At 40.0% G+C, this 15924-nt stretch overlaps 2 annotated features.

The window, feature by feature from the left end:
- Positions 9133-10332: an enhancer, noted in NCBI's record as "P300/CBP strongly-dependent group 1 enhancer chr5:68194494-68195693 (GRCh37/hg19 assembly coordinates)". NCBI's record gives its function as "activates an origin of replication core promoter dependent on BRD2, BRD4, P300/CBP, MED14 and CDK7 cofactors, with strong dependence on P300/CBP, by STARR-seq in HCT116 cells {active_cell/tissue: HCT116}" and the evidence as "EXISTENCE:reporter gene assay evidence [ECO:0000049][PMID:35650434]".
- Positions 9364-9900: an enhancer, noted in NCBI's record as "OCT4-NANOG hESC enhancer chr5:68194926-68195462 (GRCh37/hg19 assembly coordinates)". NCBI's record gives its function as "activates a minimal SCP1, AML or CMV promoter by ChIP-STARR-seq in primed H9 embryonic stem cells {active_cell/tissue: H9 hESC(primed)}" and the evidence as "EXISTENCE:reporter gene assay evidence [ECO:0000049][PMID:30033119]".

Raw genomic sequence — 15924 nt, 5'->3', positions numbered from 1 at the left:
TCTACAATGAACTCAAACAAATTTACAAGAAAAAAACAAACAACCCCATCAAAAAGTGGGCAAAGGATATGAACAGACACTTCTCAAAAGAAGACATTTATGCAGCCAAAAGACACATGAAAAAATGCTCATCATCACTGGCCATCTGATAAATGCAAATCAAAACCACAATGAGATACCATCTCACACCAGTTAGAATGGCGATCATTAAAGAGTCAGGAAACAACAGGTGCTGGAGAGGATGTGGAGAAATAGGAACACTTTTACACTGTTGGTGGGACTGTAAACTAGTTCAACCATTGTGGAAGTCAGTGTGGCGATTCCTCAGGGATCTAGAACTAGAAATACCATTTGACCCAGCCATCCCATTACTGGGTATATACCCAAAGGATTATAAATCATGCTGCTATAAAGACACATGCACACGTATGTTTACTGTGGCACTGTTCACAATAGTGAAGACTTGGAACCAACCCAAATGTCCAACAATGATAGACTGGATTAAGAAAATGTGGCACATATACCATGGAATACTATGCAGCCATAAAAAATGATGAGTTCATGTCTTTTGTAGGGACATGGATGAAGCTGGAAACCATCATTCTCAGCAAACTATCGCAAGGACAAAAAACCAAACACCGCATGTTCTCACTCATAGGTGGGAATTGAACAATGAGAACACATGGACACAGGAAGGGGAACATCATACACCGGGGCCTGTTGTGGGGTGGGGGGAGGGGGGAGGGATAGCATTAGGAGATATACCTAATGTTAAATGATGAGTTAATGGGTGCATCACACCAACATGTTTGTTACATGTATACATATACAACAAATCTGCACGTTGTGCACATGTACCCTAAAACTTAAATTATAACAATAATAAAAACAGAAAATCACAGCTATATCAATATATTATAAGGGAGAGATGATAGGTGTAGAATTCTGTAATAGATGATAAATTAATAAAGTAATAAAATGAGTATAACTCCACAAGGAGAGGCCAGTGTAATGTAAGGTCCATGTAGGAGACAAGAAAAGGCATGCATCATGAATTTGACCCAAAATTAATGATAGCTGTAACAAATATTGATTAAACATTAAATTACCTACAATTTTGCATGCCTCCTTAGGAGTAATTTAAATGCCCTGGGCTTTTAACAGAGGTAATCCAATGAAGTTTTAACCTATGTTTTCTTTTTCTCTTACAGTAAATTTCCACGTAGAAGACAGGCATTGTTGACCTTTATCACTGACCTTAAAGTAGCAGATGTTTCATAAGCGAGTGTTATTGTTGATTATGGGGCTTCTTCCTCCAAAAATTATTTTCTAAAATGAGACTGATTATTCCATTTGCAATAGCACAAAAATATGAAATACTTTGGGATAATCTTAACAAGAAATGTTTAGGTCCAATATGAAAAAAATTGTAAACTTTACCAAGGGAAATGAGAGAAGACCTTATGTTCTTTGGTGAGACTGGGGTTAAAAGTTTTAAAGGTATGAATTCTGTTCATACTTTTAAAAACATGTTTAATAGAATTCTAATTATTATTTGTGTAAGATATTTTGGGGACTTACACATAATAGCAAAATTGTTCTTGGAGAAAAAAATAGAGAATGGCCAAAACATTTTTTAAAAAAGAATTATAATGAGAGAGCAGCTGTATTTTAACTGGGTTAAAATGTATTATACAACTTCACACCCAGTATAATGGTTATTATCAAAAAACAGAAAACAAGTGTCAGTGAGAATGTGGAGGAATTAGAACCCTTGTGCATTGCTGGTGGAAATGTCAAATGGTGCGGCAGCTCTAGAAAACAGTATGGCAATTCCTAAAAAAGGAATTTTTTTTTTTTTGCTTTACATATATTATTTTTTCTAAATTTACAATAGAAAGTAAATATTGTCCCTCCCATTTTTTACAGTGGAAAATTGAGGGCCAGCATGACTAAAAATAGTGTAGTGCTCAAACAGAAGAATATTTTTCCAGATATTTTCTTCCTCTCTTAAAAAATTAAACATAGATTTACCATTTGACCCAGCAATGACACTTCTGGGTATATACACAAAAGAACTGAAAGCAAAGACTTGAACAAATGTTTGTACAACCAGGTTCATAGCAACATTATCACAACAGCTGAAAGGTAGAAACAACTCATGTCCATCAACAGATTAATGAGTAAACAAAATGTGGTGTATACATGCAATGGAATATTATTCAGCCTTAAAAAGGAAGGACATTCTGACACATGCTACAATATGAGTGAACCTTGAAGACCTCATGCTAAGTTGCAATAAGCCAGACACAAAAGGGCATATGTTATATAAGTCCACTTATATGAGGTACCTAGAATAATCAAATACACAGAGACAGAGAGTAGAATGGAACAGGGGTTGGGGAATTGGGAAATGAGGAGTTATTGTTTAATGGGTACAGAGTTTCAGTTTGGGAAGAATGGGAAGATGAAACAATTCTAGAGACTGATGGTGATAGTGATTTCACAACAATGTGAATATACTTTTTTTTTTTTTTTTGTATTTTTAGTAGAGATGGGATTTCGCCATGTTGGGGAGGCTGGTCTCGAACTGGCCTCAAGTGATTTGCCTACCTTGGCCTCCCAAAGTGCTGGGATTATAGGCATGAGCCACCACGCCCAGCCACAATGTGAATATACTTAATGCCACTGAACTTTATACTTCAAAATAGTTAAAATGGTAAATTTTCTGATGGCATATATTACCAAAATAAAAAATACTACAAATTGTATTACAGAATTATAGTAGATAAAGTAGCAGAATAATTGCTCAAGACTGCTGCTCAGTTCACCATAACCACATAAAGAGACTCTATTATGCTAATGGATTTAAATCTGATATAAATAGTCATCATAAGGAAGTTGGAAAAAGAATTAATGAATGATTGGTGTTTGTGTTTCAGTTCAACTGTCTGCTGGCACTGTGAACTTGAGAAAATGCCCTAATCACTGTTAATCTGTAAAATGGGAAAAGAAACAGGAAAAAGAAAGGATGATGCCAAAGATTAGAATGATAAAGATGACGTTACCTGTCACGGGTCTATTCTGGGCTGGAATGGGAGTGGGAGTGGGTGAGGTGGAGTGGAGTGGGAAGGGGTGGTAATCTGTGGGACTTTTCTGGGTGGCAAGAAGAAGTGGATCACGAAAATCACCTTTATCCTGGTCAGGTGATGGCTGTGAATGGCTCCCTTTGACACTGAAGATGTTCCAGGTGCTTCTGGGATTGGGGCTCTGGGGAATCATGGGGTGTGGGCTACATCCCTCTCCCTGGTGAGCTAACACAAACACGCAAAACCCTAAAGAAATTTCTTTCAGTTCCTTACTCCAAGTTCATGATAATAGAGTATCCAGAGTATAAAGAAAAGGCATCGTAGGGATGAGAACAAAATGTGAGGGGTTGCAGCTTTATTTTGGTTAAATTATGTTTGTGCTCTACAAACAAGGAGGGCCTCCCTGACCAGACAATTGGGATGCTCCCATAAGGGTACTCTCTTAGGATAGAGTGTTCAGCCAGACCCTCTTCTCTCTTTTGTCTCCAGAAGTCTCCATCTCTCTTTGTCCCCACTCCTCGCATGCCTCAAACATCCTCATTCTCTTATCACAGGGCGTGAGTCATAGCTAGTCTCTCCCAAGCCCTCCTTTTGCTGGGTAGAGAGAGTAGAAGCTCTAAGACTTGGGGAGAGAGCAGAAGAGGAAGGATGATAGGTGGTCTTGACTTCAGGGGCAGCTTACCTTTTTCATTTCCCTTTTCTGCTTTTTAAAAATATTTCCTCCGGATAAAAAAAAAAAAACACCCAGATTTTACACTGTGAGAATTTTCTCACTGGATCTCCTTAAAGAATCATTTGCTAAGCATAGTTCTTGGTTCTCATGTAAAAATAGTGTATATCTTCTTGCTGACCTTGAGTTATTTGACCAAACCTGCTTTTATTACTATTTATTTTGCCTTAGGAAGCCCACATCCATGTGCTGTTCCTGGTTTATTCCTTTTCTTTCTTTGTTGTAGTTGGGAAGCAGATGTCCTGCAGGGGCCCTGCAGTAATGGTAGTAGTTATAATATTGACGTGATTGCTGCTGTAAAAGAGATGCCAGCTTTTGTCTAAGAGGAATCTGAACAGGTCTGGGCTTATGTGTTGAATTGGTATGGCAGGCTTGCCAAAAGATTGTTATAAATTAAGGATTCTTTGGGGAAGGGATTCTTTAGGAAGACAGGAGCAACCGGGCATGATAACCAATCTTAGATCTCCAAAGGGGATGGTGATTTGTGCCTCTAATCAAAGTTCCCTCCTCAGAGAGACCTTCTCAGATCATCTTATCTGAACTGATGCTCTCCCTACCTCATATCTCTTATAAAAAGATACTCCTTCATGCTTTAACATTTTTCTCTGTGGCATTTATTATCTAAAATGATCTTACTTATTGCTTTGTTTGCTTATTTATCATCTTTTCTCTCATTGACCAGAAAGGAGGTTTCACATCAGGGACTTCTTTTTTATTTCTACTCTAGGCCCGATGGCTAGAAGAGGGCCTACTGCAGAGTTGGTGTGCAATGAGAGAATGAATATTGTCCAGAGAAGAAGCTGTCTCAAATTTTTCCCTAACACAGCCTCATAGAGGCTGTATAGAGAGAAGTTTATAAGCAAAAACTGAAAGACTAACTAGGAACCCTGGGACCCATGGACCTTAACAGATCCTGGCCCTCAATCAACAGCAGGACTATTAGCCCACACCCCTTTTTCCCTTTAGCTGTTTGGATCCTCCAAGTGTCCCATTTCAAGCCAACATAAAAGCCACCTGAAACGTGTCCCACTGTGGGAGCCCAAGGCTTTAAGGCATGTTCATTCCTTTAGGAGCATTTAGGAAGATGGTGTTTCAGGATTTCAGAATCCTCTGAGCATGAAACCCCAAACGTGACCTAGTTACCTCCTTAGGTCACGTTTGGGGTTTCATGGCCCCTCTTCTCAATCCAGACTTTGACCATAAGTCAGAGAGAATGATATAGTCTCTGTGTTGCCCTCTGGAGGATCTAAGAGGGCCACAGTATTATACAGGCAGCACATGACTACATAAGGAGGTTGCAGGAAGTAGGGAAAACATTAGACTTTGATCTTAGGTAGGTCCTAAGGTAGGTAGAATGCTAGTTCTTTCATCTGATAACTTTGAAACATACTCAAAGTATTTAACTTTTCTTTTCTTTTTTTTTTTTTTTTTTGAGACGGAGTCTCACTCTGTCGCCCAAGCTGGAGTGCAGTGGTGTGATCTCGGCTCACTGCAAGCTCCGCCTCCCAGGTTCAAGCCATTCTCCTGCCTTAGCCTCCCGAGTAGCTGGGACTACAGGTGCTCGCCATCATGCCCGGCTAATATTTGTATTTTTAGTAGACACGGGGTTTCACCGTGTTAGCCAGGATGGTCTCGATCTCCTGACCTCGTGATCCGCCTGCCTCGGCCTCCCAAAGTGCTGGTGTGAGCCACCACGCCCAGCCAGTATTTAACTTTTCTAAGCCTCAATTGTCTGTCAAATGTAAATAATAATATGTTGGTAAATTTGGAGTAATTCCCTGTAGTCTGAGTCTCCTTACTGAACTGACTACGGTTGGCTCTTTGTATCTGCAGGGGTTGCATCCTTGGATTCAATGTACCAAAGATTAAAAATGTTTTAAAAAAGCCCCAATAAAACAATACAAAAAATACAGTATAACAACTGTTTATTTATCATTTACATTGCAGTAGGCACTATAAGTAATCTAGAGATGATTTAAAGTATATGGGAAGATGTGTATATGTTATATGCAAACTCTGTGCCATTTTATGTAAGAGACTTGAGCATTCTCCGGTTCTGGTATCCTCAGGGGTCTTGGAACCAATCCCCTGTGGATATGGAGGGATGACAGTATATGGATTAAATTTTCTTCAAGGCCGATGATGAGAGTTACTCTGTGTTTCAAGCTATGTATCTTAATGGGCAAAAGATTAAGCAGTTCAAACCAGACAATTGCTGTGACTATTTACAGATACCCAGAGATGCTTTCAGGGGGTAAGATTTGGGAAGACAATGGTCAACTGACCTATCCTCACCTCCCTCTGCAGCCTCATTCAGGTGCCAGTACCCACCACTCTGCTCTAAGCCCAGAGACTCAGATTCAGTGAAGAGTTTTACTGTCAGTTAAGGGGATGTTAGGAAAATACCTGGTTTTAGCTCCATTTCTTTTATCTGTACACTAAAGGATAGATTTCAAAGGTCTCTTCCAGCTCTTAAGTTATACGGGATGACTTTTACTATCCAGAAGCGGATCCCCAGGGCAACATAGTTGTAGGAAGTTAGAGGTGAGGTTTCTATTGCTATTATGTTAGTTTTAGGACCAGGGAAACAGGAATACCTGAATCCACTTAGTACTCCTCCCCTCAGTTTTCTAGGTGAGGAGCTGTTTAAGAACAGTAGCTAAATGGATATGAAATCTCTGCTATATTGATAGCTGACCAGTGAACACTGACCTCCAAAGCATGCCTCTGGCGGAAGCTGAGTTGGAGAATCCGGCTAAGGCATGACGACTTAAGCGAGGCTGTTACGCTCTCCTTCTGGATTCTGAGATGGCCGCCATTTCTGCGGAGGGCTCCCTACCTTAACCCGGTTAGATGATGAGTAGGCCACATAGAGATGTAGAAAGCCTGGTGAGGCCATCTTCTTAGGTTTAGGCGTAGAACAGAGGGACAGTTTAGGTGAGGATTCCAGAAACAGACTCTTGGGCTAGGATACAGGTGCAAGTGACTTATTAAGGAAGGGCCCCCAGGGGAGACCTGCAAGGGCGTGGAGGAAGAGACTAGGGAAGGGGCAGAGCCAAGCAAGGGCGTATTCCAGATGAGCTCCCAGACTCAGCCTGATATCGTGGGGAGCTCTGGAGTGTCACTGACATCTCAGGTTCTTTTCCCCTGAGGTGTGGACGTTGTGCTTTTTACTTCTGTGTATTCAGTCACTGGTTAGGTGGCGACTCGGAGGCAGGGGTGGTGGGTGGAACATCAACTCTTGGGCACCTATGGCTCTATGTACATCCGGGTGGAGTGGCTCCAGGCTAATCCTCTGAAGAAGGTGGTGGACTCCACCCTAGGAGCAAAGCAGCACAGCGAAACTGGAGAATGGAACGCGGAACTGGTACAGGGGACCCAAGGTGATCTGGATGGAGAGGATGAGCCAGAGAGAAGAGGATGTTTCATATGGACTGCCTGCGCAGAGCAAGGAGTGCGAAAGAGTGTGCCTCATGTGGTGCTGGCTGTCATCAGTGACTGTGCTGTGTTCTGACCCACGTGACCATCTCTCTTCTTGGGAAGGGAGTTCGATGGATGAGAGGGAAGAGAGAGAGGGAGGCAGAAGCATGGGGAGGGAGGATAGAGACACCCCTGTCTCCAAAAGCCATCTCTGCCTTCCTCAGAGAGTGGTTGTTGGGGCCTGAAAACCATGAATGTGAGCATGCTATGGAAAGCATAAAATTCTAACTCATGTAAGCAGTTGTTAATAAGTGATTTGCCTGAGTTATGTAACTGTGGCAGAGTAGAGGTCAGCTTTTGTGCCTGTAAGTTGAAGGATGCTCTTATGGATTATGTGATCTGCTAGTAGTTAGCACAGTTCTTCGTAAAGTAGGATAAGGAAAATAAACTTTGCAATGGTTATTTTATGACATAATTCTATAGTCCCTCCACCCCCACCTCCAAAGTCTAGTCTCTCAAAAACTCAGCTTTCACTGCTGATGGTGTAATAGTTTTGCCATAATATAAGCAGCTGGGTGTTTTTTTTTTTTAATTAACTCTGATGTCATAGGGCTTGGGACCATTGAACATAAGAACTGGCACTATCCCAGGGACAGGTGATCAAGGCAGAAGACCTCTGGTTTATGATTAGTGGCAAGACTGGTATCATTAGTGACACTAGAATATATGACACAGGGACCACATTTCCTGAGCAAAACAGTACCTCATATGGCCTGATGGTATCGGGACAGTTGCATGGAATATTTGAAATTGGAATGAACCTAGGATATGCATTATATCTAATCCCCTTAAATTGGTATTTATCAACCTTTTTATTTTTTTTAAAAAAACTAAGACTCATAGCAAAAAATACATTTAGGTGAGGCAGGCTGGTGCGGTGGTTAAGAGAATAGACTCTAGTACCCAATTGCTTAGGTCTGAATCCTGTCTCTGCCACTTGCCAGCTGGATGATCTTGGGTATGTTACTTAAATTCTCAGTGCCTGGTTCATTCAACTGTAAACATAGGCTAAAAATAGTCCCATCTTGTGGATGATCTTGAAGATTAAATGAGTTAATACATGTAAATGCACTTGGCGCAGTCCCTGGCACATATTAAACATTACATGAGTGTGCTAATAATATTTTTACATTTGACTCAGTACGTATATACTTCCACACACATATTTGAAACAGAAATTTATTATGTGTAATACATGCTAATATGTTCTATTATTATATTGTATTTCATTAAAAACATATACCTTCCCTGGGTTTTTAATTACAATTTCAAAATATATTCAATATATATTGAATTGAAATATATACAATTTCAGAATATATTCATCAGCATCTTATAGTCTTATGGACAGCAGTCAGCAATAGGGGACATTGTTCAATTTTTTATAAGTTAGTCTTCATCCTTGGTAAATTAACTATTTAAGATTTCTAGACACAGAGGAGGAGCCAGGCTAAAGCTTAAGGGCTTGGTATGGAACACTGGGTATTTGAAAGCTAGAAAATGATGGGACTTAGTTATTGGAACTTTGGGCTGGGGAATTCTGAGGGACTTGAAAGAAAACAAGCGAGACTTTCCAAGATTCCTGCTGTGTCCCTTGAACTCCCGCTCTCAGAAAGTACAATGAATAATATCACTCTCCAGCCCCTCTGTCTCCTGTCCTTTCCTGAGGAAATACATTGTTGGCTGAACCTCAGTGAGTTGAAATGGCAGATAAATGAAGACCTTGTTCCCATCCACCCTCCCCCAGGTAAATTGTCTAACTGTAAATAAACGCCTTTGTGTTTGTTAGGGTTGGGTGATTTGTTTCCAAATGGGAAAGAGGTTATGCTTTCATGTGTGAAATGTCTTCTTTCTCTCCTTCTGATGATTGTAAGTGTGTCTAGAGATGAGGTGAGGCCTATAAACCTAATTCATAAACAGTGTGAATCCACAATAAAATTATATGCGTCTTTAAAACTGGCTCCCTTCATATAACTACCCTGATGCAATGCTATAAACTTTGGACTTGCGACATTAAATCGGTGAAAGGGAAACCATGTCATACTAACTCAAATGCGTTAGACTGATTAAAAATGAATTTCTAATGAGGAGGCATGTCAGTAAAATAATAATTAAAATAGTGCTTCAAATGATTAGGATTTGCTTTTATTTTATATTTTGTGGCACAGTATTTCCCAGAAGGCTTTGAGTGCATATGGCAGAGATGGAAAATGGAGATGTGAAAATGAGGTCACATCCAAGTGGGTAAGAGGCGATCACCATCAGCAGCCGAGCCAAATCTGCTTCCTATGCAAATGATGGCCCAGGGCTGGCAGAAGAGCCATTAAGGTCTTTGTTAAATCCTGACTCATCGCCATCTGCTCTCAAGTAGCGCTGCACTAAATGGCAATGTTGTAACATCTGGGGGAGAAATTTTTTCCAGTATATTCTGATTTGAGATGGTCAAACAGGTTCAGTTTGATTAAAAAATGGTTTAAAGCTTGCTCATCTCTTGAGTCACTTTCCTCCCCTTCCTTTCATGCCCAATTAAAAAAGTTTTGCTTACTATTTCTGTTTATTTTTCAGTGGATAAGGAGGGTGGTTGAAATAATGCTGGTCAGAACTGAGGTAGGGATTAGTACATGGTTGATCCTCCCTGTCTTGTTTTTATCATGAATCTAGGGACTCTCTTGGGATTCCCTGTGCATTCCTTCACTCATTGACTCATTGCTGATTTATTCAACAAATATTTATTGAGCCCCTCTACTTATGTGCCAGAGATTGTGATTGGGCTGTGGAATGACTGGGGAACAGAACTGAATAGGCCCCTGGCCCTCATGAGGATATTCCAAGTGGGGATAATAGAAAATAATAAAGGATCACAATTATTTTGGGTTTTGATAAAACTATGAAAGAAATAAATCCTCTGGTAGAGAATTTTGGTGGGGTTGAGGTGATGGGTAGGGTAATGGCAGATCTATTTTAGAGGGACTGGTCAGGAAGGCCATAGATCAGGTTGCTAAAAGCCAACTAATGGAAAGCCAATTTGCTGAAAGCTAGTTTGTTACCTGGCCTAATTCACTGGAAGACAAATTCACCAAGCTTATTTATGTTATCTATACTATTTAGTTTTGGTTTTCATTTTGATTTTCTGATAGCATTTTGAGAACTATTTGACAGTTTTTTGATTAGTCAGGCTGAAGAACCTGAGGGACAGAAGCAGGGGAAATAGAGAGGCAGAGAGAGGGGCCTTGAGGACCATGATAAAAATATATTCATAACGATATATTCTGGAATAGGGAGAATTGTTATATTTTTCATTAGGTTATTATTCATTAGGATAATACATTCATATGAACTCTTCATATTTAAGAATATGTGCAAGAAGGCAGTATTTATAAAGACTATATTCATAAAAAGAATATTTTCGTTGAATATATTCGTAAAACATGAATATATTCATGAGGAGAATATATTCATAAGAAGAACATGCTCAATTTTTCTCTACCCTAGCTCCCTGCTGTTGCTGCTGGAGGCTGAGGGACAGAATCAGAGGCAGTGAGGGGAAACTGAGGCACAGATGTAGTTAAGTTTCCAGCTAAAGTGTTAGGGAGCTGGGGAAGAAGCAGTCTAAACATAGACTTTCTCAAAGTGGTATTATGAAAGCAAAATGAAAACCAAGTAACTAAACTAGAAAGTTACAAGAAGCAATTACGTTAGGCAAATTTGTTCTTTAGGGAATGGGTCATTCAAGAAATTAGTTATTTGGGCAATTTGTCATTTGTAGAATTAGTAGATTGAGCATATAATTTATCTTCTAAACTGGGATGGTTTTGAGCATGAAAGGGGTGCTATTAATAATTATTAATAGCATGGTCCTGGGCACACTGAGCTGTAAGATCATCTGCCTCCCTGCCCCCTAGTCTAAATTGGTCTCTGGCGTCTGTGTTGGAGTAAGATTGGGCAGGCACAAACCTGAGGAACATTCTGGATTTGCTTGCTTTTGCAATATGGCTACTTGGCTGGATTTGAGATTGAATGTGTGGATTGTTTCTCAACATGAATACCATCTTCTGTTTGAACTCTCCAAAGCTGTAGGGTATTAGGATAAGTCTTAAGGAGAGCTGTGATTTCTTGGATGGCATCCGTGGCAGTTATTACCTTTATGTGGATGATTTCCAATTCTGGAATCTCTAGGCCAAGCTCCAAACTCAGATTTCTAAACACAAGCTAGACGTCTCCTGCAGGCATCTCAAACCCAACATGTCCCAAATCAAACTCCTAGGAAGAGAGTATAGAGGTAAAAGAAGACCTTTGGGAAGTTCTTTTCATAGTCATTTGTTCATGCCATGCTTTTTCAGATTTTTAACAGCCTGAGAGGACATTCTTTTTCCTCTTTCTTGCTTAAAACCTACCTACCTTTTAGAGCCCAGCTCAAATCTCTTCTTTCTGTAATGTCTTTATGAAATAGCTACATTTAATCCTCCCTTATCAAAATTACCAATTGTTTCTCAATAATAGCCACCGATGGTTGTCATAAGTAAGACCTGTGGTCAGTACCATCCAGTCTGGAATTGTATTGTTTCCTAAATGTTTCAGATGTCTAGATATTTTTACCACAGCACCTAAAACATTATTAAGCAGAAAACAAGGGTCATTTGTTCATTAATTCATTCAATAAATATTTGTTGAGTGCCTGTTATATACCAGGTACTATTCTAGGTTATGAGATAGAGCAATTACCAAGGCAGAGGCCCTGATGTTCAAGAACTTACATTTTAGTGGAGAAGATGGACAATGGAAACATGAAGACATGGATACATAATGTAATTACAGATACTGATAGATGCCATAAAGAGAAATAAATTGGTTTAGGTGATCCTATGTCATCTTGGGGGTAATTATTAATAACATCTCCTTTTACTCTCAAAAGTGTTTGGGTTTAGAAATTAATTATCTCATAAGAGACCAGAGAGCATAGGATATGCATTTTCAATAATGTAGTCAGAAGGGCTTCTGTTGGGTGGGGACAGAGCCGTTTGGATGTCTGGGAGAAGTTGTGTTCCAAGCGGCAGGAACCGCATGTGCAAAGGTCCTGAGGCGGGAGTCATTCTTCAAATGACAATGTCTGCTGCCTGCTGAAGTCCAGAAAAGAGTCTGATGTGACTGGAGTGCAGTGAGAGTGAAAGAAAATGGTAGGGTGCTAGGGGATAAGGTAGAAGAGATGCCTGTGGGTCAGATCATGTGAGGCATTGTAGGCCACATAAAACTCTGAGTTTTATTCTGTGATAGAGAGCCATTAGGAGGTTTTGAGCTTGGAAGTGAAATAATTTGATGTATTTTAAAAGGATTACTCTGGTTGCTGTGTAAAGAAAATGTCATTGGGAGAAAAAGGGAGACAGCAGGGAGACCAATAAGGAGCTTATTACAGAGGTCTGGGAGAGAGATGAGGGCTTAGGGAATACTCGTGTATTTTTGTGGCCTGGTGGGTAGTTATTGGATTGAAGTCTTTGGAGAAAGAGAACAGGAATGAGAAGTGATTTGGCAAAGCCGCTTCACCTCTCTAAGAGTTTCTTATCTTCTGGAATTGGGAAAGCACCACCTGTCCAGCTTATCTCATAGAGCCCTTATAAAAGCTATTGTTGGGGAAGTATTTTGTAGACTCTAACATACTACATGCATGTTAACCTCTGTGATTATTAACTATGTCGGATTCTTTCCTTTTTTGGATTGTCAGCATCCCTATCTTGCTCTAGACTAGAGAGCTCCTTTCCCCCATGGGAAGGTATGCAAACTAATTGCTCTGGGATTTGGATACTGAGTTTTGTGAAACCATGACTAAAGATGGTTAGAGTCCGGTTGTGGTGGTGAGGGTACCTGCCATGTGTATCCCTGGACCTGATTTGAGTTCTTTCTAAGGCTTGGGTTTCCAGATCTCTTTGATTCTATAAATTACCTCACATCCTCCCAATGGAGTCAATTTTTATTAAAGATGCCAGAGTTGCTTTCTGTTGCTTATAGCCACGCTGCTCTAAAAGAGATACTTGGGAGATTTACAGGGGATCAGATTTAGCGAGAGACTGGCACCGTCTTGGCATTATTGCCTGCTGCTTTTTTGGTTAGGTTGCGGGTTCCAAGTTAGATTTTCTGAGATGTGGAACACTCAGGGGTGGAGAGGTCAGTTCCATGAGGCGGGAAATTCCCATACAGGGTATAGGAATTGAATGTATTTTTGAAACAATTCTTAGTGGGAAAGAGTCAGACTGTAATAATAAAGCCAAGAATCTCATTAGCCCAACTGAGGAGTAACAGCCATTCTAATAGCATCATTAAATATTGCTGAATAAATAAATCAACGAATAGGTTAATGAATGAATTGAAGGCATTGGAGTCCTGAATTTTAGTCCCAGCTCTGCCGTAAACTAGTTATGTGAGCCTGAGTAAATCTCTGGGTGTCAGTTTCCCCACCTGTAAAATGGGCTTAGTAAATCTGCCTTACATATTTCACAGGGGTGTGATGTGACTCTGCATGAACAAATGTAAAGGTCAAAGATGAGGGTATGGAAACATGTTAAAGATTGAGGTTACTAAGAAAAGATTTGGGAAAGGAACAGATTTATACCAAAGAGACAGATTTCTACCCAAAATGAAGGGAGTATACAGATAATCCAGAGTGATTTAGAGTCACATTCCACACGTGCAGCTTACTGGCTCTAGAAAGATCAAAAGATACATAAGCAATAACAGGAAGGATAGGTTACAGAAGACTTCTTCAGAATAAAAGCTAAACATAAAGTCAGGCTTTGCTTCTGCTGCTGCTTTGGAGGCTGGGCTTATCACGTCATCAAAGACCTGCCCTGGACATTGGAATGCGAAGACCTGCTTTAACCAAGAAATCTAGATCTCTAGCCTCACCCACAGATTGCCTAAGGAGATGTCTTGTATATGTGTGTGTGGATTCTTGTTACTCTGAGCTTTGGCTAGTTTTTGGCTATAATCTCATTCAGCTTGTGTGTTTCACAACCCACAGGATCTGATGGGAGTGACATGCGGGGCTTTGCAAAATCTAAAACATCATTTGAATGCAAGGCAAGTGGTAGAAGGGACTGGTGGGGTATTGGCAAATGTTTAACAACCGGCTTTCCGAAAAAAATTTATAATATTTGCCAATTTCTGTGGTGTAAATAGTCCTGCCATGGCAGATTTTGAACTGCCAATTATTTAACAATCTGCTTGCAAAGTTCCTGAAAATTTAACAATCAGTTCTTGTGAGCCAGTGTAAATCAAATGTGGCTCACCTTACTGAAAGGAACTGAAAGGAAAGAAGAGACAAACTGAGGGGCCTATAAAGATTAAATATATGTCTAATTAGGCAAAATGTGTAGTTTGGAGGGGGCCCTTAAAAATTGTGTGTGTCTTCTTAAAAAAATTCACTTTTAAAGACTAACTGGGGAGAGACAAGATTCATACAGATAAAGTTAAATAAAAATATAAGACATGGACAGAGTGTTACATAATTAATTGCTAAATAGAAACTCTAGTACAGAGGAAGGAAGGTCACAGTCAATTGGGAGCTTTGGCAAGACTCCCTCTGGGAGTGCGGATTGACTATGGTACATGGGGTATGAACAACACCTTCAGAGGGCAGAGGAGGTGAACAGTTTTACCACCCCAGTGCAGTTCTGGGAGGTGGGAGAGGGCCAGTGACGGGGGTAAGAGCCCTCAGAAGGTGGTTCCTCAGGACTCAGAGACCCAATGGAAGGATGTGGCTCATGGGAGGAGAGGAGAGTGATTTCCATGTAGCTGGTTGTAGTGGATATCTGTTGTTTTGCTATTCAGCTTCCATTCCTCACTTTCTCCCCAATTCTTTGTCTTTGTGGTTTCGATGGGACTCATCCCCACCTCCAGAACACAGGGATGAATTTGTGACTGAGGGCTGGTCAACTGGTGTTCTATTTCTCTGACCACACAGATTGAGTGAGGCCTAGGCATGTGGCGAAGGCACCCACTCCAATGGGTGTGTCTTCTGAGACTTGTTTGGCAGAGATAATCAGGGCTGGAGCTGCTGGTGGCCATCTTGCTACCATGTGGGGAGAGTCTGACTGATAATAAAGTGTACCCACTGGAAACCAAAGAATTTGGACAGACACTGATTCCAGATGATATCATTTAAATACCTGTATTAAACATGCCTGAAGCTAGACTTTTGAGAAAGTCTTTTCACAGCAACATTAAGAAGAATTCTGGAAGCAACATGAAAAGTCAACAATGGGAAATTGGGATAAATTGTATTGTAACCATTTGATGGAATATGATACAGCTATTAATGAAAGAGGATATTGTAAAATTAAAATTAGGGATATATGAAGGTGGTCATAATACAAATACAAATAAAACAGGTTGAATCTGTTTTTATTTTACAGTTTGTGTAATTAATACAGATAATCTAAAAGACTAAACATCAAAATATTTATGATGATTAACTCTGAATGGCGTGGTTCTTTTTTCTTTTAGTCTACCTGTATTTTCTAATTTTACTATAACAAATATGAATTAGGAAATAAAAATAAAGACATTATTTATTTTTTATAGAATTATTAAAAAAATTATTAAAAACAAAAGGGGATGATGAACGAAGGCAACTTA

The sequence above is a fragment of the Homo sapiens genome, chromosome 5, assembly GCF_000001405.40.
Source record: "Homo sapiens chromosome 5, GRCh38.p14 Primary Assembly".
Classification (NCBI taxonomy): domain Eukaryota; kingdom Metazoa; phylum Chordata; class Mammalia; order Primates; family Hominidae; genus Homo; species Homo sapiens.
Note: the sequence above shows the minus strand (reverse complement) of the source record. Positions and strands in the feature narration are given on the sequence as shown.